This window comes from Homo sapiens, chromosome 6, assembly GCF_000001405.40.
Source record: "Homo sapiens chromosome 6, GRCh38.p14 Primary Assembly".
Classification (NCBI taxonomy): Eukaryota; Metazoa; Chordata; class Mammalia; order Primates; family Hominidae; genus Homo; species Homo sapiens.
Window position 1 is genome coordinate 166,525,921 of NC_000006.12, and position 23,911 is coordinate 166,549,831.

The 23,911-nt window shown below is 45.5% G+C and overlaps 1 protein-coding gene across 9 annotated transcripts in view, besides 5 other annotated features; it reads right to left on the reverse strand.

Annotated features, from left to right (window-relative positions):
- Positions 1–23,911, reverse strand: part of RPS6KA2 (ribosomal protein S6 kinase A2) — a 453,410-nt gene that overhangs the window by 116,557 nt on the left and 312,942 nt on the right. For 7 of the 9 annotated variants that reach the window (XM_047419235.1, NM_001006932.3, NM_001318936.2 and 4 more), the window contains 2 exons: positions 12,748–12,864; positions 5,312–5,393 (listed from right to left, as the gene is read on the reverse strand). The exons of 1 other annotated variant lie outside the window; for it this stretch is intronic. In XM_047419235.1, the coding sequence (XP_047275191.1) occupies positions 5,312–5,342 (31 nt within the window). In that variant the 5' untranslated portion in view covers positions 5,343–5,393; positions 12,748–12,864. Of the gene's footprint in view, positions 1–5,311; positions 5,394–12,747; positions 12,865–18,679; positions 18,771–23,911 lie in introns of those variants that run through there. One more of the 9 variants, NM_001318938.1, reaches the window with a different exon arrangement.
- Positions 7,099–7,600: an enhancer, noted in NCBI's record as "H3K4me1 hESC enhancer chr6:166946507-166947008 (GRCh37/hg19 assembly coordinates)". NCBI's record gives its function as "activates a minimal SCP1, AML or CMV promoter by ChIP-STARR-seq in primed H9 embryonic stem cells {active_cell/tissue: H9 hESC(primed)}" and the evidence as "EXISTENCE:reporter gene assay evidence [ECO:0000049][PMID:30033119]".
- Positions 15,310–15,429: an enhancer, noted in NCBI's record as "active region_25435". NCBI's record gives its function as "activates an Ori minimal core promoter by ATAC-STARR-seq in GM12878 lymphoblastoid cells {active_cell/tissue: GM12878}" and the evidence as "EXISTENCE:reporter gene assay evidence [ECO:0000049][PMID:35858748]".
- Positions 16,020–16,239: an enhancer, noted in NCBI's record as "active region_25436". NCBI's record gives its function as "activates an Ori minimal core promoter by ATAC-STARR-seq in GM12878 lymphoblastoid cells {active_cell/tissue: GM12878}" and the evidence as "EXISTENCE:reporter gene assay evidence [ECO:0000049][PMID:35858748]".
- Positions 16,410–17,010: an enhancer, noted in NCBI's record as "OCT4-NANOG hESC enhancer chr6:166955818-166956418 (GRCh37/hg19 assembly coordinates)". NCBI's record gives its function as "activates a minimal SCP1, AML or CMV promoter by ChIP-STARR-seq in naive H9 embryonic stem cells {active_cell/tissue: H9 hESC(naive)}" and the evidence as "EXISTENCE:reporter gene assay evidence [ECO:0000049][PMID:30033119]".
- Positions 17,358–18,278: an enhancer, noted in NCBI's record as "H3K27ac hESC enhancer chr6:166956766-166957686 (GRCh37/hg19 assembly coordinates)". NCBI's record gives its function as "activates a minimal SCP1, AML or CMV promoter by ChIP-STARR-seq in primed H9 embryonic stem cells {active_cell/tissue: H9 hESC(primed)}" and the evidence as "EXISTENCE:reporter gene assay evidence [ECO:0000049][PMID:30033119]".

Below are 23,911 nucleotides of genomic sequence, written 5' to 3' on the forward strand. Positions count from 1 at the left end.
GAGCTGAGACAAACTTGGAGGTCCCTTTGAGTCAACTCTCTTCTTTCACAGATGAGGAAGAAACAAGAAACTAAGGTTTTGGGCCAGCAGGTGTCCTTGCCCAGGCTAAGTGCTAGTTAGTACCAGTTAGTGCTAGTTAGTGCCAGGCCTCCTCTCCACATAACTCCGCTGCATCATGGTTAGATCCAGGGACCTAACCTACTTCGAAGTATGCAAAGTATTATTTGCAAAGCTTTTCTATTTTTCTCTTCAGAAAATAGATTCCAATGAAATTTTTGGGAAAAAAAAATCTACTTTTTAGTGATGGATCATTACGGAAAGCCGAAACAGTATAAGATGTAAAACAATGATTAGTTTTAAAGCTGACTTTTAAGGAACACAAGGAAACAAAAATGTTTCTATTCTTCTATGTTTATATGGCTTTTTTTTTTTTTTTTTTTTTTTGGACAGGGTCTTGCTCTGTCACCCAGGCTGGAGTGCAGTGGCACAATCACAGCTCACTGAAGCCTTGAGATCTTGGGCTTAAGCAATCCTCCCACCTCAGCCTCCCAAGTAGCTGGGAATACAGGTGTGCGCCACCATACCCAGTTAATTTTTGACTTTTTAAATTTTTCGTAGAGATGGGGTCTTAACATGTTGCCTAAGTCTCGAACTCCTGGGCTCAAGCAATCTTCCCACCTCTGCCCCCTAAAGTGCTGGGATTACAGGTGTGACTACCACATCCAGCCACATGGCTCATTTTCATAGCATAAAAATAATTTTAGCTACTCAAGCACATTGTTCCAAAATATTTTAAAAATAACTTTACATTACAAAAAAATTAGAGATATTTCATTTCTGTTGAAAACTTGCAGTAACAGAGTATAGGGAAGAAGACAACAGCTAGCCCCAATCCTGTAAGTCAGCCCTTCACTTTGGCATGTTTGCTTCTGGCACAATGTCCATCTCATGTGTGTACACACAAATACACACACCTCACTACTGCTCAAGTCACTCTTAAATTTAACAATACCATGATTATTCTGTACACAGAGTTTTATGTCCAGCCTATTCCACATAACCATGGATCAGGAGCCGTTTCTCAAGGACACTGTGGACTGGATTATAAACAGCCGTGGATACTTGCATTAGGGAGAGTGAAGTCATCGAGATGGAGCGTTCTGCACTTTAGCTAAGAGGCCAAGGTCAGCCCTGAGGGAGTCCAGGCTTAGCGACAACTTAAACAGGGTGCAGCTTCCCGCTCCTCCATTCCACTGTATTCCTACAGAGCAGAGCAGGCAGGCACAGATTCCAGCTGCATTCCCACTTTGCCTCCCTTTCCTTCAGTGGCGGGGGAGGGTGAGGCCAACTTTGAAGGGAAAGAAGGAACCGTTACGCTTGAAGGAGAAAAGGAGCTCTTCCGGGTCACTCCTGGTGCCCTGGAGAGGTGAACATGGAACCGCCTGATGGACAGTAGGACAGTGTGTGGCCAAGGACAGGCTGGAGAGCTTCCCGCATCCACTTGCCTTTGTCTTAAACCACAGGAAGATGCCTCATCTGTGTTTGAGAGCAAATCTCAATGCCTCGAGGATGAAAGAGTGGGTTTTAGGAAAGGAACGTATTATCTAGCAGCTGTTCATTTTAAGAATAACAGCTTTTTGGAGATATAATTCACATTCCATATGATTTGCCCATTTAAAGTGTACAATTCAATGGTTTTTAGGATATTCACAGAGTTGTGTACCATCGGTGGGTTTTAAAGATTTTAATCACCCAAAAGCAGCTCCAGACCTGTCTGCACTCAGTTCCCACCTCTCTCACCCCCCAGCCTAGGAAACCACTCATCTACTTCCTGTCTCTAGGGTCTGCCTCTCCTGGACGGTCATATGAGTAGAATCTTAACCCGTGCGGCTTGGTGCCTGGCTGTTCCCGCTAAGTACACTCTTCCCAGGCTTCACCCATGTTGGAGTGGGCACCAGTACTTTATTCCTTTCTATTGCCCAATATCATTCCGTTGAATAGATAGACACTTTATTTTTCCATTTCCCAGATAGTGGACATTTGAGCTCTTTCCCTTTTTTGGCTACTGTGAATTGGCTGGTGCTGCCATGAACATTCCTGTGCTAGTTTCTGTGTAGACAGCTGTGTTCATTTCTCTTGGTGAACCGCCTAGGAGTGGACCAGTGAGGTCGCATGGTAATCTCTGGTCAACCTTTCGAGAAACTGCAAGAACAGTTCACTGTGTTGGCATTCAGATGATCCTGCACTAACAAATGTCTAATTTAACTTCCTATTTTGAAGAGATAGCTGTAACTGAAGAGACATAGACCAATGGAACAGAACAGAGCCCTCAGAAATAATACCACACATCTACAACCATCTGATCTTTGACAAACCTGACAAAAACAAGAAATGGGGAAAGGATTCCCTATTTAATAAATGGTGCTGGGAAAACTGGCTAGCCATATATAGAAAGCTGAAACTGGATCCCTTCCTTACACCTTATACAAAAATTAATTCAAGATGGATTAAAGACTTAAATGTTAGACCTAAAACCATAAAAACCCTAGAAGAAAACCTAGGCAATACCATTCAGGACATAGGCATGGGCAAGAACTTCATGTCTAAAACACCAAAAGCAATGGCAACAAAAGCCAAAATTAACAAATGGGATCTAATTAAACTAAAGAGCTTCCACACAGCAAAAGAAACTACCATCAGAGTCAACAGGCAACCTACAGAATGGGAGAAAAGTTTTGCAATCTCCCCATCTGACAAAGGGCTAATATCCAGAATCTACAAAGAACTTAAACAAATTTACAAGAAAAAAATCAAACAACCCCATCAAAAAGTGGGCAAAGGATATGAACAGACACCTCTCAAAAGAATACATTTATGCAGCCAAAAGACACATGAAAAAATGCTCATCATCACTGGCCATCAGAGAAATGCAAATCAAAACCACAATGAGATACCATCTCACAGCAGTTAGAATGGTGATCATTAAAAAGTCAGGAAACAACAGGTGCTGGAGAGGATGTGGAGAAATAGGAACACTTTTACACTGTTGGTGGGACTGTAAACTAGTTTAACCATTGTGGAAGACAGTGTGGCGATTCCTCAAGGATCTAGAACTAGAAATACCATTTGACCCAGCCATCCCATTACTGGGTATATACCCAAAGGATTATAAATCATGCTGCTATAAAGACACATGCACATGCATGTTTATTGTGGCACTATTCACCATAGCAAAGACTTGGAACCAACCCAAATGTCCATCAATGATAGACTGGATTAAGAAAATGTGGCACATATACACCATGGAATACTATGCAGCCATAAAAAAGGATGAGTTCATATGGTTTGTAGGGACATGGATGAAGCTGGAAGCCATCATTCTGAGCAAACTATTGCAAGGACAGAAAACCAAACACCACATGTTTTCACTCATAGGTGGGAATTGAACAACGAGAACCCTTGGACACAGGATGGGGAACATCACACACTGGGGCCTGTGGTGGGGTGGAGGGATGGGGGAGGGATAGCATTAGGAGATGTACCTAATGTAAATGATGAGTTACTGGGTGCAGCACACCAGCATGGCACATGTATACATATGTAACAAACCTGCACGTTGTGCACGTGTACCCTAGCACTTAAAGCATTAAAAAAAAAAGTTCACTCTAAAAAGCATGGGTTAAATTACGTTACAATTGATAACACTGAACTAAAAACTTGAGTGCCTACAATAAACTAGAATGTCTCACCTAAGACTTTTGTGTACGTAAGAATTACTGGGACATCTTGTTTGAAAAGTCATATATCTAGGCCTTGTTTCTACAAGATGATGATTCAGTAGATCAGGAGTGGGGCCAGGATCTGTGTTTGTAACAGTCCTCTCCCCGCCCCCAAACACACAGACAATTCTAATCAGGTCTAACCAAAGTGGTCAACTTCTGCATTTTCTTACCATTGGTTGTACTGATAAATGTCAACCAGATTTCTCTCCCCTATAGAATTTTCACCAGAAGTCCCACGGACCTTCTAACTCACTTGGAAGAGCTCTTTTCCTCCTTTGTATACTTAAGTGGTTTAAAGTCTGTACATATTTGGTCTATGCATTTTTTGTCCTTCTTGTTGGTGACAGGTCCTTCCCAACATATATCTCATTTCCTCAGCTAGAAGGCAAGTGACCTGAAGGCAGAGAATGATATATTTGTACTGCTCCCCTGCCTGTAGTTGCTGGGGACACTGTTGCAAGACCTAAAAATTCAAGTGCCGCCTTCACATCTCAGAGCCTCATGGGGCCCCAAGGCCTCTGCATGAGCTCCCTGCTCTGCCAAGTGTGCCCCCCTCCCAGAGAGAAAGTCTCCCTACCCTGCAGGTTTCCCCATAAGCTGGACCAGCTGCCCCCATCCAGCACCCACCCTAAAAGGCTTCAGTTCCCTGCCAGCCCACAGAATCATTCCAACAAGCCAGCCACACCTTCTGCAGGAACCAGGGGCCACGTGACCCTCCCGTTCCTAGGAAGCCTGCCTCTCACCGTCTCGGCACCTAAGTGCTGCCCCCGTGACGCCCTGTGTGGCACGGGGTGCCCTCCTCCCCAGGGGGTCAGTTTATGTAACTAATAAGCTGCTGTCAGTTCATCTGTCCAGTGCCCGGCGCTGTGTGTTCAATCGCCTAATGCTGTTTAGGGCAGGGGGAAGTTCCCTCTCTCACCAACACAGTGAATAGGAGGTGATCAGAACAGATACGGTAGGTGCCCAGCTAGTGACGGGCTTAAAGACTGTGAGCCTGGAACGGAGATTTTGGATCACATTCTGACTCTAACGCTGCACTAGGGGCTCATCCCTCACTTGCAGGATGGGCGTGCAGAGGAGCTGGGCAGAAATCGGTATTTCTAATGCCCAGTCACTGGGTCAACAAAGGAAAACAACCCAACCCAACCATGAGTCACGTTGTATTTAAAACCGAGTGAGGCCGTCGGCCTGCCGGTATCGAGGCTGGTTTGTCAGGCCCCATCCAGCCCAACAGCCTGCTCGCAGCCTGCTGCTCTGCTTTCCCAATGCCGCTCCACGGCAGAACATATGTGGGAGAATGGTATTTACGCAATACAGCTCTTCTCTGACAATTGTGGAAACTCTGCAGGGATATTTTAAATATTCATGGAAATGTTTATACTGTTTATTATCAATCAGAGAGTAATGTGCTCATTTAGAGACATTTTCAGAAATCGTGAACATTAAATGGAATGAATATTTCCTCAAATAACGGAGTAGAAATTGCAGTTACCTGTCTCTGAAGCAGCCGGCCCTTCCGAAGCTCTTACCTTTTAGGGTGGCTTTCTTAAGGACCTTCATGGCGTAGAGCTGCCCAGCGTCGGACCCCTTCACCTTCCTCACCAGGAACACCTTAGCAAGAGAAAACGGAACATCAGAAACCCGTAAGACTTCAAACTCGCTTTCCATATTGGATTTGACAAGGGGATACACAAGGAAGTTTAGAGCATTTTCAATAAAACAAGTACACTGGTGAGAATTTAAAATTTTCTCCAACGTCAAGGCTGCCGGAAAATGCTCTAAGTTCCTATAGCTCTGCGGCGAACATCACTATGTGCCTGTATGAAGAAGCGTCATTTGTTTTTGGTATCATTAACTTTGCATTTTATGCCAGAAATAATACCGCCCCTTGTTTTGAAGACCAGCTGTTTAGAAAAACAAACAGGAGTTTTAAGGGAGATCCTTTGGTTTGAGTATCCCTCTGTAAATCCTTACTGAGAGACCACGCTGAAAGGTATTACCAATCACACAAAACAGGCTCTATCCGATTTTCAAGAAAAGCTACTTTCTCTTACTTCAACTGTCTTCACCCAAATTTTAGCTGTGAGTAGCTTAAGAGTTCCTTTCTAACTGGATCTTAAATACACTTACGGATATTTGGCAATGCTTTCTGAAATACATTTTGATGTGTATCACTGAGAAAAACAACAAAAAAAGGTAATTGAGAGCTTGAGTTTAAATTTGTATTAGTGATTTTTTAACAAACTTAGTAAACAAAACTGGAGTTCCTTTGTATAAAAAAAAAAACTTCCATGCAAATTAAGAAAATAGTACTTGATTTTCCTAAAAGTGTTTTCCAATAGATGCAAATATCTGCTTGCATGATGGAGATGACACAGGCACACGGTGCACTGGTGTGGCTGCCCATGCAGTATGGCTGGAGGGCCGAGGTAGGGTGGCTCCTTCCCAAAACGTCTCCTTTACTAAGCCTCAAAAAGCCAGAAAGACCAGCCACTATAGATGTTCTAGTTCCATGGAAACTCCAGGTGGCCCAAGTGAGCATCCGTGTGGAGCAGCAGCCTCACCTGCCATGGGCAGAGGGACATGGCTGGGACCTTTGCACTCTTGGCTCCCCCCCAAGACTGGAGGGGCAACGTCTAGACACTTACCGAGTGCAGGGGCTCTAGGAGCAGGGGCTGCTAGGGCAGCCCAACTGGAGGGAGACCAACCAGCGTCTATTCTAGAGGCACAAATAAAGAGGGACCGGGAAGACGCAAGGTCCCAGCACAGGCATGTGGATTCACGGAGTTGCTGTATCAGTGTCACGCTCTCACCATGTGCCCCTGAAGTGATTCCGGACCCCACTGCTGCCCTGCCATCTGTCCCGATCACTGTCATTATTGAATCACAGCCCCTCCCCAGGTGGGGACTCTTCTAGATGACGCCCATGGGAAAGCACCCCAGCACCCCTACCCGGGGTGCAGGACGGTACAGCATCATCCTGTGTGATGAAATGCTGCCTCTCGGACCCGATTAGGTCCCAAGAAGTCACAGGCAATTAGAAAGAGGCTTCCCTCTTCCCCTGGGTTATAGACTATACCATCACCGACAGTTAATATTCATCTCTGGGAGATGTGTGGAGTGTGAGAGAGAGAGAGAGAGAGTGTGTGTGTGTGTGTGTGTGTCCCCAAAGCTGGATAAACAAGCTTGTGGTGAAGCCCTGGGGCGATAGCTGGGGCATCACCCTTACGCACACTGTGGTGGGAGACACAGGCACAAGCCCTTCTCCGGGCTCAGGATCCCATGGCTCTTGCTGGCAGACCCACTGTAGCCCTGGAAGTTACTGCACATGGAAGGACTCTGCCTCAGGGTGTTCCCTCTGTGCAGTGGGCGAGCTTCCTGACAGGCAGGTAGAGATGTGAAGGCAGTGGTCTGAGGACAGGATTTTTACAGAGAGAAAAACATTAGTGCTTAACTCTTGAGATCTTCTGCTTTGAATCACGGGAAAGTCACATGCCATGCACAGTTTTAGCTTCCATCTGATGCAACTCCTTTCATTTCTCCAGCCCGTCCGTGTGCCTAATGTCCCTAGGTTGACTTGATGAGTGGTGCTGTGGAGATCAGGACCAGCCAGGACAGTGCAGGGAGGAGGCAGGCGCAGCCCAGGAGTCCAGGAGCTGGGCAAGGCTGCGTGAGCGTCCCGGTGCCGGAGAGGCCGCACTGGCAGAGAGGAACCTGGGTCCCAAAAAAGTCGGAGGGGGTGTGGAACAAGGGACAGTTGTGTTTGTGGCAGGGACGCCACATTTCCCCGGCATCCTGCAGGTAAGTTGGGCAGTGACACCAGCAAGGGCAGGGGTGTGCCTTCCTGGCCTAGGCAATGAAGAGCAGGTGCAAAACGTTCCAGCTGCCACTCCCTGCTGTGGCAACTGAGGACACCTGGTGCAGGACAAACCGGGCAGCCTGGTCACTGAGTCACTGTGTGGAGGATGGAAGCCTTGGGTGGTTGCTCCAGCCCATGGTGGACTTTGGTAGGGTGACAGATGAATCTATCCATTCCATTGCGGCGAAGCTGACATGTTAGCTCCCAAAATAAGGCATTCTTATAATCAGAAAACAAAGGGCCAGGTTCAGTGGCTCACACCTGTAATCCAGCACATTGGGAGGCTGAGACAGAAGGATCTCTTGAGGCCAAGAATTTGCAACCAGCCTGGGCAGCATAGCAAAACCCCAGGTCTAGTAAAAATAAAAATAAAAATTAGGGCTGGGTGCGGTGGCTCACGCCTGTAATCCCAGCACTTTGGGAGGCCGAGGCGGGCGGATCACGAGGTCAGGAGATTGAGACCATTCTGGTTAACATGGTGAAACTCCGTCTCTACTAAAAATACAAAAAATTAGCCAGGCGCTGTGGCAGGCGCCTGTAGTCTCAGCTACTCGAGAGGCTGAGGCAGGAGAATGGTGTGAACCCGGGAGGCGGAGCTTGCAGTGAGCCGAGATTCAGCCACTGCAGTCCGGCCTGGGCGAAACAGCGAGACTCTGTCTCAAAAAAAAAAAAAAAAAAAAAAAAAGAAAGAAAAAACAAAAATTAGTTGAGTGTGGTGGTTGGTGGTGCGTGCCTGTAGGCCCAGCTATCCGGGAGGCTGAGGCAGGAGGATCGCTTGAGCCCAGGAGTTTGCAAACAACAAGCTCCCTCTTTCAAAATGGGAGGACCCTGAAGAAAAAGGAAGCAAGGTACATGACGGATTTGTGTTTGGACGGTGCAGCCTTCACAATATCCTGAGTGGGTCCGTACTTTCAATACCTCTGCACTCAACCCCTAACCCATAAGAAGTACGACCGTATAAACTCAAAGAGCAGAGGAAGCCCCATTCCACTCAAGTCTGAACTGGAGACCAAGTCCACATGGGGCAGCTGCCAGTTAAGATTTGGTTTAAATGATGTCAAGTTTTGCATAGGTCTTGACACATGAAACTTTTCTCTCTCGTATGTTAGGCCTTAAAGATGAGATGACTGATGGTCGTGGCTAATGTTCATACTTATCTGTTTTGAAGAGAGAACCATACTTTTGCTTTTTAAAAGAATGGAAAAAACTCCATCCTACCAATGTCTGCCAAGCTTCTCTGTGGGGCCAGGTACTGCGAATTCCTGCAGCAGGTGCTGCCTGACTCGCAAGCACAGGACCCAGTGGAGGGGAACGGCACCTTGAGACGAGCAGCAAAATACAGCAAAAATGCAAAAATGATTTTGGTAACGAGTGTGGCAACTTGCTGGTCTGCGACAGGGATCTTGACCCTTGGGTGCCGTGCAGTTCCCTCTCCCTCTCTGCTGTCATTCTTGTCACTGAAGATCAATTTTAATGTAGTGGAATAAGCTCCAAAACAACACTGTAACCTCGAGCTAACGCAGGCACTGTGTCTTTAATACTCAACCCAGTGGGCGCTGTGTGTGCCCCCTCATTTCATTTTTAGAACTGCCTCTCCAGCAGCTTGGCGTGCTGCATTGCAAAGATGCTGTGAGAACCGCGACCTGGCAACAGGTGCGATGTCACTCTGAACTGCCTCATGATGTCATGGATCACCGTGATCTGCTGATTCTCTCAGCAGAATTCTCAGCTCTCTCTCAGAACTGGAGGGTTTCTATTGGGCTGCAAAATCCTTCAAGCAGGAGCTAAATGCCCATGTGCACTTCCAGGGACTTTTGAGTAACAGCCACCCCCAAAAGGAAGACATTTAAAGACATGTTCTTATCATGCTACCAGCAAAGTCAGAGAAAGCAAGGATTTTTAAAAAACTTTGGTTTGGTTCCTTTTTCGAATGCAGGAATCATAACCTACAGTTCATTCTCCAGAATATTTTAAAGGAAAAGAGGTTTCCTATCCTACTCCTGGCACTTATGCGAATAGGGGAGCTCCAGGAGCAGGTGAGGAGGTGGGACCAGGGCAAAGCCACTTTCCCAGCCCCGGGGTGGTTCCCACACCTCCCTCCTCTAAGCTCGCAGGGAACACTGGGTCTGCACCCCTCCTTTCAACACTGAACAAGCTTCACCATCTTTCATTGCTTTCCTGATTCAAGCTTTAAATTGCTTTTCATTTTGAGGATAAGGCTGTTTTCTGTGCTTTTCTCTGGTCCCAAGCACCACCCATGGCCCTGCTCTCTAGATAGCGATGAAATCATGATGGCTTCGCCTTGCAGGACTGAGCTCAGAGCTCATAGACGCTTCCCGCTGGTGGTGAGTGCAGCTTCTCCCACAGGAACAAGCTTATTCCGGCTGACCAGGTGAAGAGCAGCGGCTTCGGAGAGCCTAAGCGGCTCACACAGGCAGGCAATGGGACAAGTCACTCGGATGGCTCCTGGTGCAGTCTGAGGTCAGGAGCTGGCACCAGTGCAAAAAGTCTAAAGGGAAGAAACTGCATGTCATCCATTTCTGCATCTCCAATGTCATCATTAAATAAGAGAGAAAGAATGGAGTGGCTCAGTGACAGGCAACTATGAGCCCTGTTGAAGGACTCGGCTCCCAGGCAAGGCCTGTCCCGGGACACTGCGTCCAGATTCACACCAGGTCTTTGCTCTTTGGAGCGGAGGCAGGAGGTGGAAACCTGAAGAACAGGTGCTTTCTGCAGAATGAGAACATTCAGTGTTGTCCTTCTGTCCCTGGTAGGTGCAAAAGGGAAGATGACTCTTGCATAAGGTTGTGTTATTTGCATGTAGAGAGGAGGAATACAGTAACGTGGGGCATTAGAACACACGGCTTCTCCCCCTCGTCATCAGTTTTGCTTAAATTAAAAAAACTCACCACAAACAAACCTATGTGGACAAATACAATTTGTATCTGTGACTCTCTAGTGACGATATTAGCTCCAACCTTCCCTGGAAATGTCTGAGCAACGCTTTTGAGAATAGTATCTCTTCTTTCCAGAGTCCAGCTCGCATTAATCCACGAAGCGGACCTAAGCCTCCCTTCCCACGCCAGCCCCAGCCTGGACCTCCTGCCCCGCCCCTCACACCAGCTCTGGACAGGCATTACTGGAGCTGGCCCATTCCGTAATCCCTGGAGGTCAGACACCCATGGGCGCTGCCACTGCCTCATCCTTCTCTTTCCCCTACCTACTACTGTTCTTGAAACTTTACGTTTTAATTCCTCATATAATAAAGACACAAGTAAAGATAAAATTAGAAGTGGTGAAAGGCTGGGAAGGAAAGGGACAGAGTGTTATGAGCATTATCATTCCAACGGGATTCTGCCAAACACCATGATTTCACTTGTTTTCCAAAACATGTTTTTTTAAAGCAAAATTAAAATTCAAAATTTGAAATCTGAACGAGGGAGCTGGAAAAGCCTTTCTCCTTTCATCTTTAATACCCCAGTTCTGTGAGGAGGACATTGGTAAGATTCACTCTGTAACAGAATTGGTCAACCAAAGCCCTCCAGACACTTCCTGGGCCTCCGCCATGGGATGTATTCCAGCGCTCCTTCCCTCCAGATAAAGACGATTCGGCTGATTCTGTGCTTCCACAGGTGGAATCTGTTCTCAAGAAACAATGCATGGGCAACACCCTTGAAAGGTGGAAAAAGGAAAGAATGCTTGCTTGTCTCTGTTTTCAAATCATGGAGAAAATTATTCTCCTCTCTCTTTTTTCTCTACATTTCTAATTAATAGTGAGGCATTCCACTGTCACATTACGCAGGCTCTGCCTTCTGTGATTTTGTGCTTTTTGGTAATGGCTATTAACATCGTGAGAAACTGAAATCTTCATCCCCCTATTTCATAAACACCATATCAACTAGCCATATTAAATAGACATTTTTGTAGGCCCAAAATATTGCTGGTAATTTCCTATGGTTTAATCTAACGTATAAAAATTTTACAAACAATCCAGTTCATGCGGACTGTAGGATTATCCAGAACACCGATGTACTATTCATTCCATCCAGTTCATGCGGACTGTAGGATTATCCAGAACACTAATGTACTATTCATTCTACACTTAAATTAACAGCAGCCACATGCATTTTGGCACAAAGTCATGTGAAGAATGCAAAGATTTGGTAAATGTCTACATACCACACAAAAATAGTTACTTTAAAGAGCCAGGCTGTTCTGCTTACATGTAAGGAACGGTTGGCTTCATGGTTTATTTCAGGCCCTTATGTTCTAGAAATCAAGTTGTCAGAGCCTATATATTTCTAACAGCTAACCCAAGGAGGCAGAGAAATCAGCATTGTGCTGGAGTAAGTCACGTGTCATCATAATTGAAAAGCGTTATTGACATCTTGTTGTATGTGGACGTGGCATTAAATGAAGAGCCAACTATTTCTCATTTCCTGAAAGAAATTAGCTTTTATTGCTGCAATTTGAAGGTGACAAAAAAGGGAAATGAACAATTCCACTGCACAAATACATCTTAGGCACCTGCTGGGTGGGATTCGTGCCCTATTTACTCCATGGAACAACTGTATAAAGTAGGTTTTATCCTTTCCATTTAGTGGGTGGGGAAGCTGAGGCTTCATGAGGCAATCGTGCAGGGTGAGGAGGGGAGCCGGCTGCAGACCCTAGCCTTCCTGGCTCCTGTGCCCAATCCAGAGGAATGGATTCTTTTCTTTTCTTTATTCTTTTTTTCCTTGTTCTCTTATTTTTTTCTTTCTTTGGGGAAAACAGCTGCTAGAATGCACTTTCAAAGATACATTGGCTCAGGTCAATAACCTTCCTCACCTTGGTGATGATTTACCAAGAGCCAAGGGAGGCTCTAGAGAGAAGGCAAAAGTGCATGTGACGGCTCCAACGGCATTTTGTTCTCACCTGGCACAGCCCAGCCCTGTGCCACTGGAATTCTGGCTGTGCAAAGTGAGACCCCGGTTCTGAACTGTCCAGGTTCCCGTGATCGCAGCCCTGCAGGTGAGGACCGCCTGCAATTTTCATCCAGGGGGGCTCTGTCCAGGTGTCCTTTGTGTTCAGGAATGAGACTCAAGAGACAGCCAGGGCTGAACTTACCTTTCCATAGGATCCTTGTCCTAAAACCTTCAGCAGCTCAAACTGGGAAGGATCTGCCTTCTCAAAGCCCTCCTTCACATGATGGCTGATGTCTATCTCCTTCACGACGCCTTCTTCCTGCAAGAGAGCGGCACGGGTGAGAAACACACCGCGAGGAGTCCCTCAGAGCCGCTCACAGCTTCCTCCTCCCCTGAGTTTACCACGAGCTGGGTCTGTTACAGATTTTAGCGCTGGAGTTTGAAAGTGGAGACACCATTTAGTTGTGTTTTTTTCTTTTTTTTTTCTTAAGACGGAGTCTCACTCTGTCTCCCAGGCTGGAGTGCAGTGGCTGGATCTCGGCTCACTGCAACCTCCACCTCCCAGGTTCAAGTGATTCTCTTGCCTCAGCCTCCTGCCACCATGCCCACCTAATTTTTGTATTTTTGTATTTTTAATAGAGACGAGATTTCACCATGTTGGCCAGGATGGTCTCGATCTCCTGACCTCGCGATCCACCTGCCTCGGCCTCCCAAAGTGCTGGGGTTACAGGCGTGAGCCACCCCGCCCGGCCCATTTAGTTTTATGGAATCAACTTGGTGATGTGTGTGGTTATTGTGTGCACCCTGTGGGCCTTCATGGTTTCTTTTCTCCATGGACTTTTGTCATTTGGTCTTACCAAGGCCTCCGAAAAATCTAAGGGTACTCTCAATGAAATCCATTCTGCTCTTTAACAGTCTGGGCAGAAGTTCTGGTACGATGAATATAGCAACTATGGAACAAAATGACAGCAAAAGCATATTGACGGGTTCCTAGATGGAGAAGTGGTCTGGAAAATGCAGACGGCTTGTCCTCCTTCTCCTTCTGATTCACGCTATCCCTGGTATGTTTGTCAAAGCTAATGTAAAGAACACGTCATTGCCATCCTATAGATTATATTTCAGAAGAAGCAGTCAGGTAAGATTTGCCACCAGCCCAGAAAGCAAGATTTCCCTGTAGGAGAAAGAGTCTATAAGTGAAAACACTGACAGAAAACACTACAAATTTTCATCCCAGAGCTTCCTGTCCCCAGAGTCACATGACTTCCCTTGTAAAGGGGTAGGCCATCTGCCCAAGTGCCAGGCCCTGGAAATGGAACACTGGAAAGGAGGTGTTTCTCCCAACATGAGACATTCGAGCCCAACTGTTCCTTGAATTTATCTCTGCATTTCTCTGAGATTTCTGTTCCACTATCTATACATTCGTACACCCCTTTCTACAGTTTTAGCTCGGGGTGAGGGGCTGAAAAACTTCAGAAACTGCTGGCTAAAATGCGCATCCAAAAACAGCAACCAGGAATTGTATGCATAGTGTGCTCTGGGAACCAGGGGCCTCTCATTCCTCATTGCTTCTTTTCATGAAGAAACTGTGAAGTGGAGATTTTCTCCTGAGACTCAGATTACACATTAATAGCTGGAAGTGATAGAGGTGGGCTTCTCATCAAGGACTGACTTCGAAGCCAAGTACTTCCACCCTCTGTTTTACTCTAAGAGTGAAGACTTCCAAATGAAATCACAATAGCAATAACGTACATGACGATGTTTGAAAAATTCAGTTTCTCAAAACGGTTACTTATAAATCTTGCTATTTTACCTCCATGTCACAAATAGAGGCACATGTAAAAGCAGATAAGGTGTCTGAGCCGTGGAAACTCACAGCGGATTAGAGGCCTATGCAGTTATCCATGGCTTTTCCATTCTCAGTTAAAGGAAACACTTTCGTCTCCATATCTTCAAGGATGATTTGCTATTTTTGTAAAAACAGTGGTTTTTTTTTGTTTGTTTGGGAAAACAATGAGTATAGCCAAAATTGACTCTGTTTAATCCATCCTGAAGTTCATATGAGTGCAGTTGGAAGATACAGAATTACAATTTTGTTGCTTCATAATTACTTCTTGAATGAGTAAGTAAAAATGCTAGAGGCACAGCCCAGCCAATGGGCATTATATTTAGATGCTAATTTGTGAGGGGACATCACATTTTAAGCCCTTCCTCCCTTCACAGCACAGGCTTACTAGAATTGCAGGACCATGCTAGCCACCCGAGACTGTGCAGCTTTTGTGGTGAAATCTCCTGGTTTATGGAAAGGGACAGAAAAAAATGAGGCCCTCAGGGATCCACGTGTGTCACTGCCTGTGAGAACCACTACCTTCCACGCGGCTGCTGGAGGTGGCTTCCTGCACAAAAAACAAAGGCAGGAGCCCAAGTTCAAAAAAATTCATCATGGAAACATGTATGCTATCTTTTCCCGTCATTGACCTACGAAAGGAAGAAAGAAATTGCAGACGATTTGTCATTTAAAGAACAACAAAATACTCCTCTTCTGTTACTAAAACACTGTCCTCGCAATGGGTCCATTAACATCCTCTACCTACAGGACTAGCACGCGCATGAGTCATCCAAACCCCAGCCTCCCTCCCAAAATAGCTCCCATCATGCAGCTGTGTTAATGCGACGCCCACACTATGAAAAAAGGAATCACCACCAAAGCACACCCTTCTGTGACTTCATTTTGGTAACGAGAGCATGGCAACGGCCACACTGCAGAACAGAAAGTAAAATTCAACACCGCCCAGAGGTGTGGGGCAGGCGAGGCACGAGCTGGCCAGGGAGGCTTCACACTGCAGCCACCACCCTTTCCTGGGGCACGTTTCCCAGCCCTTGTGTATGTTTCCTAAAGATTTCCAGTTCCTTCCTTTTTCTTCAGCAGCTCTTTGTGGAGGGTCTGAGACCCACAGCTGTGGTGAATGAGCTCATGCAGTCCCATGGGTCCTGGTCCCCTTCACTGCCTTTGTGGGACATGCCTTTGTGGGACTAGGCTCTGAAGCGAGAGTGACAGCATCCGGGCTACTTGGATGCCACCTGGCCATGGACGCTGGCACCTCAGAATTCCCATGGGTGTTCCCCTGCTCCCAGTCAGCCCGTTTTTTAGGCTGGCTTCACGCCTTCCTCAGCACTTCCAAATTGCCATCCCCTGTTGCCTCCCGCCTCCCCGGTCCATGCCACACCCCCACCTCCGTTGCAGAAGTTCACCTTCTTTAGTCATTTCTGTAACGTTTCGAATCAAAGCCTTCGACGCAGATATCTCATAACATTTCAAATTTTGTGCAGATTCTTTCTGTCAAAGTATTGAGAGCAAATGTACCTGAAGTACACACATAATTTCATCTCCTAAAATGACATGAAAAACGCCAGCTTTCTTCCCTAATAATATTGCGATAGAGTTCACTTCTCATTTCAAATCAGTAAGGTTTTTAACCGCAAAGCATCTGAGGCGTCAATGGAAAAAAATCCCCAAGAGCATCACCTTTCAGACTTCAGAGTTCTGCCTTCACAGTGACATTTTAGCTTGAACTTGCTGGAGGATGCTTAACTTTCTTTTTCACTTTCCCCAAAACGAAAACAAAACAAAACAAACAAAGATCTGGTGTTCCATGGACTCGGCGCGCACTCTGGGGTCTGTGTGAATAGGAAACAGCCAGATGAAGCCCCAGCACCATACTCCCGGGCACTGCTGATAACGACCCTCTCTGGACAGCCCTGGTTTCTGGATCCCTTCATGACAACCACCCTAAGGGGCAACTAGCATGAAAATGTTACTCACATTTCATTTTGAAATATGTGCCTTTTCTGTTTTATGAAGCAGGTAATTTTATCTAGAGCTTGATGAGGATTTGCATGCAATGCCTTAGGAAGATCAAGTCTGTTCCTGAATCGGCTGCATCCATGGCAGGAGCATGTGGTTTCCAGCACAGCTACTGTAAACAGTATTTTTAAAGCTAACTTGAGAGCTTTGGGAGGAGGAGCTGGGACGGTGATCAGGTGCTAGCTCCATAAGCAACAATTCCAAACATTTTGTAACGTAAGAAAGAAAAACTAGAGGTATAAACTGTTTAAATGATGTTTGAATGTGACAAATTGTGACAAGGAATTTTTAAAATTCCTGCAGAACTGCACTCAAAATTCCAATGACTGCAGGAAGTCCCGGGCAGGTATTTCAGCAGCTGCTGGGAGCGGCTGGGAAGTGGGAGTGACAGGGAGAAAGATGAGGGCGGTTGGCCACTGGCTCTGCATGCCTCTCTCTGGGCCAAAGTCGCCTTCTTAGGTCATTTCCTCTGCTCTGAATCACCTGCTCTTCATGTCATTAAAGGGATAATATTTATAAAAAGTGCAAATTAAAAGTTGTGGAATATTAATGATAAGGACATAGGAAACAAAATAGGCAAGGGTTCACCTCATTTCCAAAAAAGGAGAGAGGTCATTCTATAAATCGCAGATTCACATGTAGGATATTAATTTCCAGAATAATAACAGAATATATTATTACACAGGTGGTTTATGAAAATGTGGAAAAGAACGTATCTCCAACTCACAGGTCCCATCAAGCCAGCACTGTTCTGCTGCTGACGGCATGAACTCATGAGCAGGTGGACAAGAGCCTGGCTTTGAGGGCAGCTTTGGTGGAGTCCCTCCTGAATCCCAGGTGACAAAGAGGCTGGCATCATATAAACGCTTAATGACAGAGTACCACATCGCAAGTCATTCTCTCAAGGCACAGAACCCGGACACACCTGCCCAGGAACAGTATCGTGTCCTGGAGGTTCTGAACGTATGAATGTTCTATGTTGCCCACCTGCTTCAGAATCACCCCAAGGAACTTGTTAAAATGCAGATTCCAGGCCCTGGGCAAGGCCTTCTTGGTCTGGAATCTCTAAACTTGGCTTCGTCTAGAATCTGACTTTCATTATCTCACCAAAGGTGCCCTTCTCAAGCCATCCAAATCTTACCCATTGCTAAATCGAGTGGCTAAATTTCCATCCTCCATAGCACTGGGCATGGCTATTCACTCCCTCTCACTTGAAACACTCTCTTCACCTGGATTCCAGTACATCCTACTCCCCTGGGTTCGCTCCCACCTCCCCCTCTTTCTGTGTCTGCCAAGGTCACCTTTCCCCTGGGCACAGTCCCTGGCCTTTTGTCTCCATGTAGTTACCCCCTTGGAACCTCGTCCTGTCTCCGGGCTTTATAAACCATGTGAATAAACACTGACAACTCTCAAATCTCAATCTCCAGCAGGGGCTGCTCCCAGAGGTCCAGTTCTAGAGGCCCATCCATCACAGGCAACTGTCCTGAGTGTGTGCACGTGTGTGTGCGCATGTGTACATGTGGAATGCACATACGTGAGTGTGTGTGAGACAGGTCTTGTTCTGGCTTTTTCTCACATTGGGATGGAGCTCCTTAAAGTCCCAGCTTTATGCAGGAAGTGGGGCAAGAGGTCTGCCTGGGGCCAGCCCTGGGATTTGTCACCAGTTCCCCTGCCCTGTGAGGCTGTAAACAGCCAAGCTCAAATTCACCAGGTTGTCACCTGGCCTCCAGGAGAAAGCTGGCTTTAACTGTCTCCTTCCTTGGGTTCCCTGCTCTAACACAGGGTTTGGCCTCTGCGTATTCCTTACTCCCCAGCTCACTCACACTTTTAAACATTCTTAAAGGGATACTTGATCCAGGACTTTCGGTTGTATTTCACATGAGGGCTAGCCACATGTAGTCTACCACGCCGCTAGAATGGAAGCTCAGGAATGCTTTTAAAGGGAGAGAAGATTCACTAAATGGCTTTTTAGCCTCTTCCGGAAAAGAAAGACAGCCGCAGACTTGCTGAGAAGAGTAGAGGGGAGTCTGTGCAGGAACAGCCCCCGGAGAGCGAGCTCCATCTGCGGCACGACTCCTGATAGCTCGTGGGTCCTCGGCCTTTGGTTACCAGGAAAGCTGGCTGCACCAGTGAACACATGCCACCCATGACAAAAATCCTCCAGTAGGCCGTTTTTGTAATTACTAAAACGAAATAAAAATAACTAGACATTTGAACCAAAGACTCTTAAGAACCAGAAGGAACCTCCCATGTAGCAGGTTGGGCATCTTACTATTCAAGGGACGAGAATTCAGATCATCTGAGGCCCAGGACCCATGCTCCTGGCAAAGCTGCTTCCATTCCAACCAGGGCCTAGGACGTTTAGAGTGGTAACGGCTCGCGAACTCTGGGGCCTTCTCTGCCCTTTAAACTGCCCTTTCTGCATCTCCGCAAATGTGTCTGCTTTTGCTGGTGTGAGCAAATGTGAAATGAAATGATGGGACCAGCTGCATTTGTCCAATCAATTCCTTAGGAAACCATTTCTACAACAAGTTTCCCTTCCATTTCTAAAAAGCTAAATATAAGTGAGCCATTTAGTACAGCAGAACGAGTACCCTCAAGAATGGAAATCAGGCTGGTGACATGGGCGCTTGCTGGAATCTAGGTGAAACAAAGATGGCTTAATTTAAGATGAATAAATCTGCTACAAAATCATAGGAGGAAGGGAAGCAGGAGAAGGAAAGAGAAAGGAAAATACCGGGTGCCATGTCAAGATCGCAGATAGAAGCTCTGAAATTTCAGGAGTGTGAGCCTATCTACTTGATAGAGGGCTGCTCAGCGAGACAAGGTCTCCATTTCAACCCTGGTCATTTTCAGAGTTTGAACTGCATCTATTCGATACAATGCTCAAATGGATGCCGCAGAATCCGCGGAGGGAAAGCAATGTGCAGGAACAGGGCTGGGCTCTGTTTTCTCATCCATCCTAGAATATCACTTTTTCTTTTTCTGACCAATGAAAGTGATTTAGCTTCCAAGAGTGGTCACTGCAGTCACCGCATGCACAGTGACAATCTAGGAGTGGGCTGGCTGCTCGGGCTCCTTTCCTCTTTGGGGAGAAGTCTCCGTTAAGCTACTCACTGAAGCTCCTCGGAACTGAGGCTGGGCTAATGTAAGGTTCCTAGAACACAGCAGCACTGAGTGGACAGAGACTATGGGAAGAAAGGAGGAGAAGCAGCAAAACCAGCCTTGGCATTTCTCTCCTTTTTTTTCTCTTTCTATCCAAACTTGCCTTTCTGCCTCCCCACCCCGTCCCTGTTCATTTTAGTGACTGAGGAGAGAGGAACCTCCCAAGGATGTTTCCTCTCTGGTTTTAATTAAGCCCTGCCACTTCGCCACTGTTTCTGCCTTCGCCTTCATTGCCTGTTGTTCCCGTGGATTATTTTCTCTTCCCTTCTTCTCAGCCCTCAGTCTGCTGGTATTTTTATAAATCACAGTCAAGGCAAATTGGACTCTGAAAGTTGTGCTTATAAACGGTGACTGACAGATGGAGCGCCGCCACTTTTGCAGGGGCCTCCTTCCCACAGAAAAGACGTGCAAAGAGTGGAGAGCCAGGGCTTCCTGCACACACATGGGCTCCCAGTCCTGACATCGGCCATTCTGTCGGTGTGCTCATTCTGATAAATCCTCCAATCCTTAACCTCCCTGGGAAACGTCAGTGTGAAGTCCTCACGGAAGCCTGGGGTGTTGGTGTCTGACACGGTGTTTTAGGTATGGCTCCGTGACCCCTTCCACTTCATCTTGAAAATTATCTTCAATGATTTGCTTTATAAAGACTCATTACTAGCATCGGGGAATGAGACGGTAGCTACTGACTGACATGAGTGTATTAAGATGCACAGGAACGATCTCCGAGAAGCCTCACACTCGGGGCAGGTGGAACACGAATGCAGATTAGGTCAAGCCACAGTGTTTCCTCGTGGAACAGCTTTAGATGGGACCATTTCCGGTCTGGGCAGTGGGATGAGTGCCCAAAGGGGCTGAATACATCTGTATTATTTAGCACAACTTTAAAATAACGCCAGGTAAAAACCCGGTGACAGTGATACCAGGACGCATGCCTGGTGTGCACCCAATGGGACATTATTTATGCTAGTGTGTCACCCTGACTGGGAAAACTTTTTTTTTTTTTTTGTCTCTGAGATATATAGTATGAAACTGCACTAAGAGATGAGAGAAAACTGATAACACGGGATTTAAAATCACAAGTGGAAAAACCTACATCATCATAAACTACATCATCAGTATAACCAAGAAAACTACAGTCATATCCCAGTGAGACCTATTGGGATAAATTTCCTATTTCTTTAGCAGAAAAGGGAAAATAGAAATTCTACAACTATCATCTTCTCCCAGACTCAATTATCGATGTGTCCAATGTGATCTCCTCATTCTTTTTCAAAAGCAACATATTGGTGAATGTTTGGTCAATACCTCTACCAGAATAAGTTGATGGCTGCGATGTTTCCATTAAGAAGAATAAAAAATGCTGAGTCAACTAGGATGTAAAGAAAACGCACATCCCAAGAGTGCCCAGCTGTTGGGAACGCTGAGCTGGTGGGCTCTTCTCACACAAAGTTAGTTTCTTTTCTTTTTTTTCTTTGAGACAGGGTCTTACTTTGTCACCCAGACTGGAGTGCAGTGGCATGATCTTGGCTCACTGCAGCCTCGACCTCCTGGGCTCAAGCGATCCTTCCACCTCAGCCCTGCAAGTAGACAAAATTAGTTTCTATTTCAAGTGTACTGAGCAAAATCGCAAGGCTATATTGATCAGACCGTTCAGATACCCAGCAGAGGGACGCTTGCTGGGGTAAGAGAGGCCGGTGACGTGCGTCCTCCTCTCCAGCAGCTGAAATGGGAGTGTGCACGGGGCCAACTCACTCTACAATGCTGCAACACCACCGACTTAGAGGAAGGAAGGCAGTTTGGGCTCTGCAAGGAAAGGCTGCTTAAGTAATGGATTTTTAAAAAATGGTCCACCAAATCCATGGCAATCAGTATCACAGCTGATGGGGTGATGGGGAAAGTCTCATCCCCAAAATGGTTCTGAAAGGTCGGCAGCTGAGTTGGCAGCTGAGTGCCCGCTCTCCGGCAGTGGTGCTGGTGCCCAACTGGTCATGCACGGTGTTTGTGATCTGGATGAGAGCTGGCAGAGCAAAACTGTTAGGCTGCAGATCAGGATGAATTATTCAAATTGATAACATCTTAGCAAATGGAGAGGATGTGCTAGAAGATCAGAAGAGGCCATTCCGGCAGGCAGAGTGATGGCGGCAGCCGCTTAACCCATGGCACGTGTGCAGCACGAGGTCATGTTTTCAAAAAAACAGTAATTGTGCCTTATATGGAACTTTATATTAATTGTGATAGAGAGTAGTCAGCTGCAATGCAGGAAAGGATGGAAAGAGTAACTGAGTCCGTGTTTTAGAAAAAGAAATACCACTGTGAGTGGAAACGCACCTGCCCTATGGGGCAGACTGGCGGGCCCTGAACAGAAAGCCTGCTTCTATTCTGTACAAATTCCATGGTCGACCAATAGGCATAACGTGCACACCTTCTGACCCAGGGACCTCACTCCTCAGAATTCATCAAAAACATTTACACATAGAAAGCTGTAACATTATTTATAACAGTGAAGAAATAAGAAACAATTGAAACGTCCAGCAAGTGGGGAAGAATAAGGAAAATGATGATCTATCCACCAAATGAAAGTTTACGTAGGCTTTCAGAGTGATTGCGCTTTTTCCCATTACTCCAAAAAGATGAAATACTTACATATAAAGTAACAAAACAAGTATAGTATCTGTGTGTCAAAAATTACGGAACATATTATTGGAAGAAATCAAAGATCTAAATAAATGGAGAGACATGTCATGTTGACAGCTCAGAAGAGCCAACATGGTAAAGATGTTAAGTGTTCACAAATGCACCTGTAGGTATAATCTCCCATCAAAATCTGAGCAAGCATTTTTTTAAGTATAGAGAAGTTTATTCTAAAATTTCATGGAAAAGCAAAAGACCTGTAATACCCAATTTTGAAAAAACACTAAAGTGGGAGGAATCACTCTACAGATGGTAAGGTTTGCTACATAGCTACAGTAATCAAGATGGTGTGCTATTGGTGAAGGGGTAGACACACAGATCAATGGAATGGAATAGAGGACCCAGGAATAGAAGCATTCAAATACACCCAGCTGCTTTTGGAAAAGCAATTCAATAGAGGAAAGGCAGCCTTTTTGACGAATGATGCTGGAGCACTGGACTTTCATAGGCAAAGAAAAAAAGACATTTAACCTAAATTCCATCTCTTATACAATAATTAACTGAAAATGGATCACAGACATAAATATAAAACATAAACTACAAAACTTCTAGAAGAAAACATAGGGGAAAATTGTCCAAACTTAGGGCTAGGGAAAAATTCTTAGACATGACACCCAAACCATGATTCATCAAAGAAAAAAGTGATAAATCAAACTTCATCAAAATTTAAAGCTTTTGCTTTGCAAAGACTCTGTGAAGGAGATGAAAAGACAAGCTATAGAGTGGGAGAAAATGTTTAAACCACACATCCAACAAAGGTTCTGCATCCATAATGTATAAGGAATTCTCCAAAGTCAATAGTAAAACAAAACAATCCATTAGAAAATGGGGGAGACAAGCAGATATTTCACCACTGAAGATACACAGATGACAAATAAGCACATGAGAATATACTCAATATCATTAGTCATCAGAGAAGTGGAGAGCCGCAATAAAGTATCAGTACATACCCATCAGAATTGCTAAAATAAAAAAATAGTGATAAACATCAAACATCGGTGAGGATGCAGAGAAACTGGACCTTGTACGTTGCTGGTGTAAATATAAAATGTTCCAGCCATTGTAGAAAACAGTCTGGCCAGTGTCTTACAAAACAAAACATCCCAGCAAACGTATTCCAGGGCATTTATCTCAGAGAAATGAAAACTAAGCTCACACAAAAACCTGTACTCAAATGTTCATAGCAGCTTTATTTGTGATGCAAAAACTCGAACAGCCCAAATGGTCTTCAATGAATGAATGGTTCAACAAGCTGCAGTACATCACATCATGGAATACTATACACAAATGCAAAGGAACAAACTACTGTTAGTCACAAGTTGTATGGATCTCCAGAAAATTACGCTCAGTGAAAAAAAGCAAATCTCAAAGGATTATACAATGTATGATTCCATTTACATATTTTTTGAAATGCAAAATTATAGAGGTGAACAGTTTAGTGGTTGCCAGAGGTGAGGGATGGTTGGTGTTGGGGGGGTGTGTGTGTCCATAAAAGGGTACCATGGGGGATATCTGTGGCGATGGGACAGTTCTGTATCTTCATCAGGATGGTATTGCCACAGATTACACATGTGATATATTTGCAGAGAACTCATATACACACACACGAGTACACGTAAAACTGGTAAAATACGAATAAGGTCTGTTG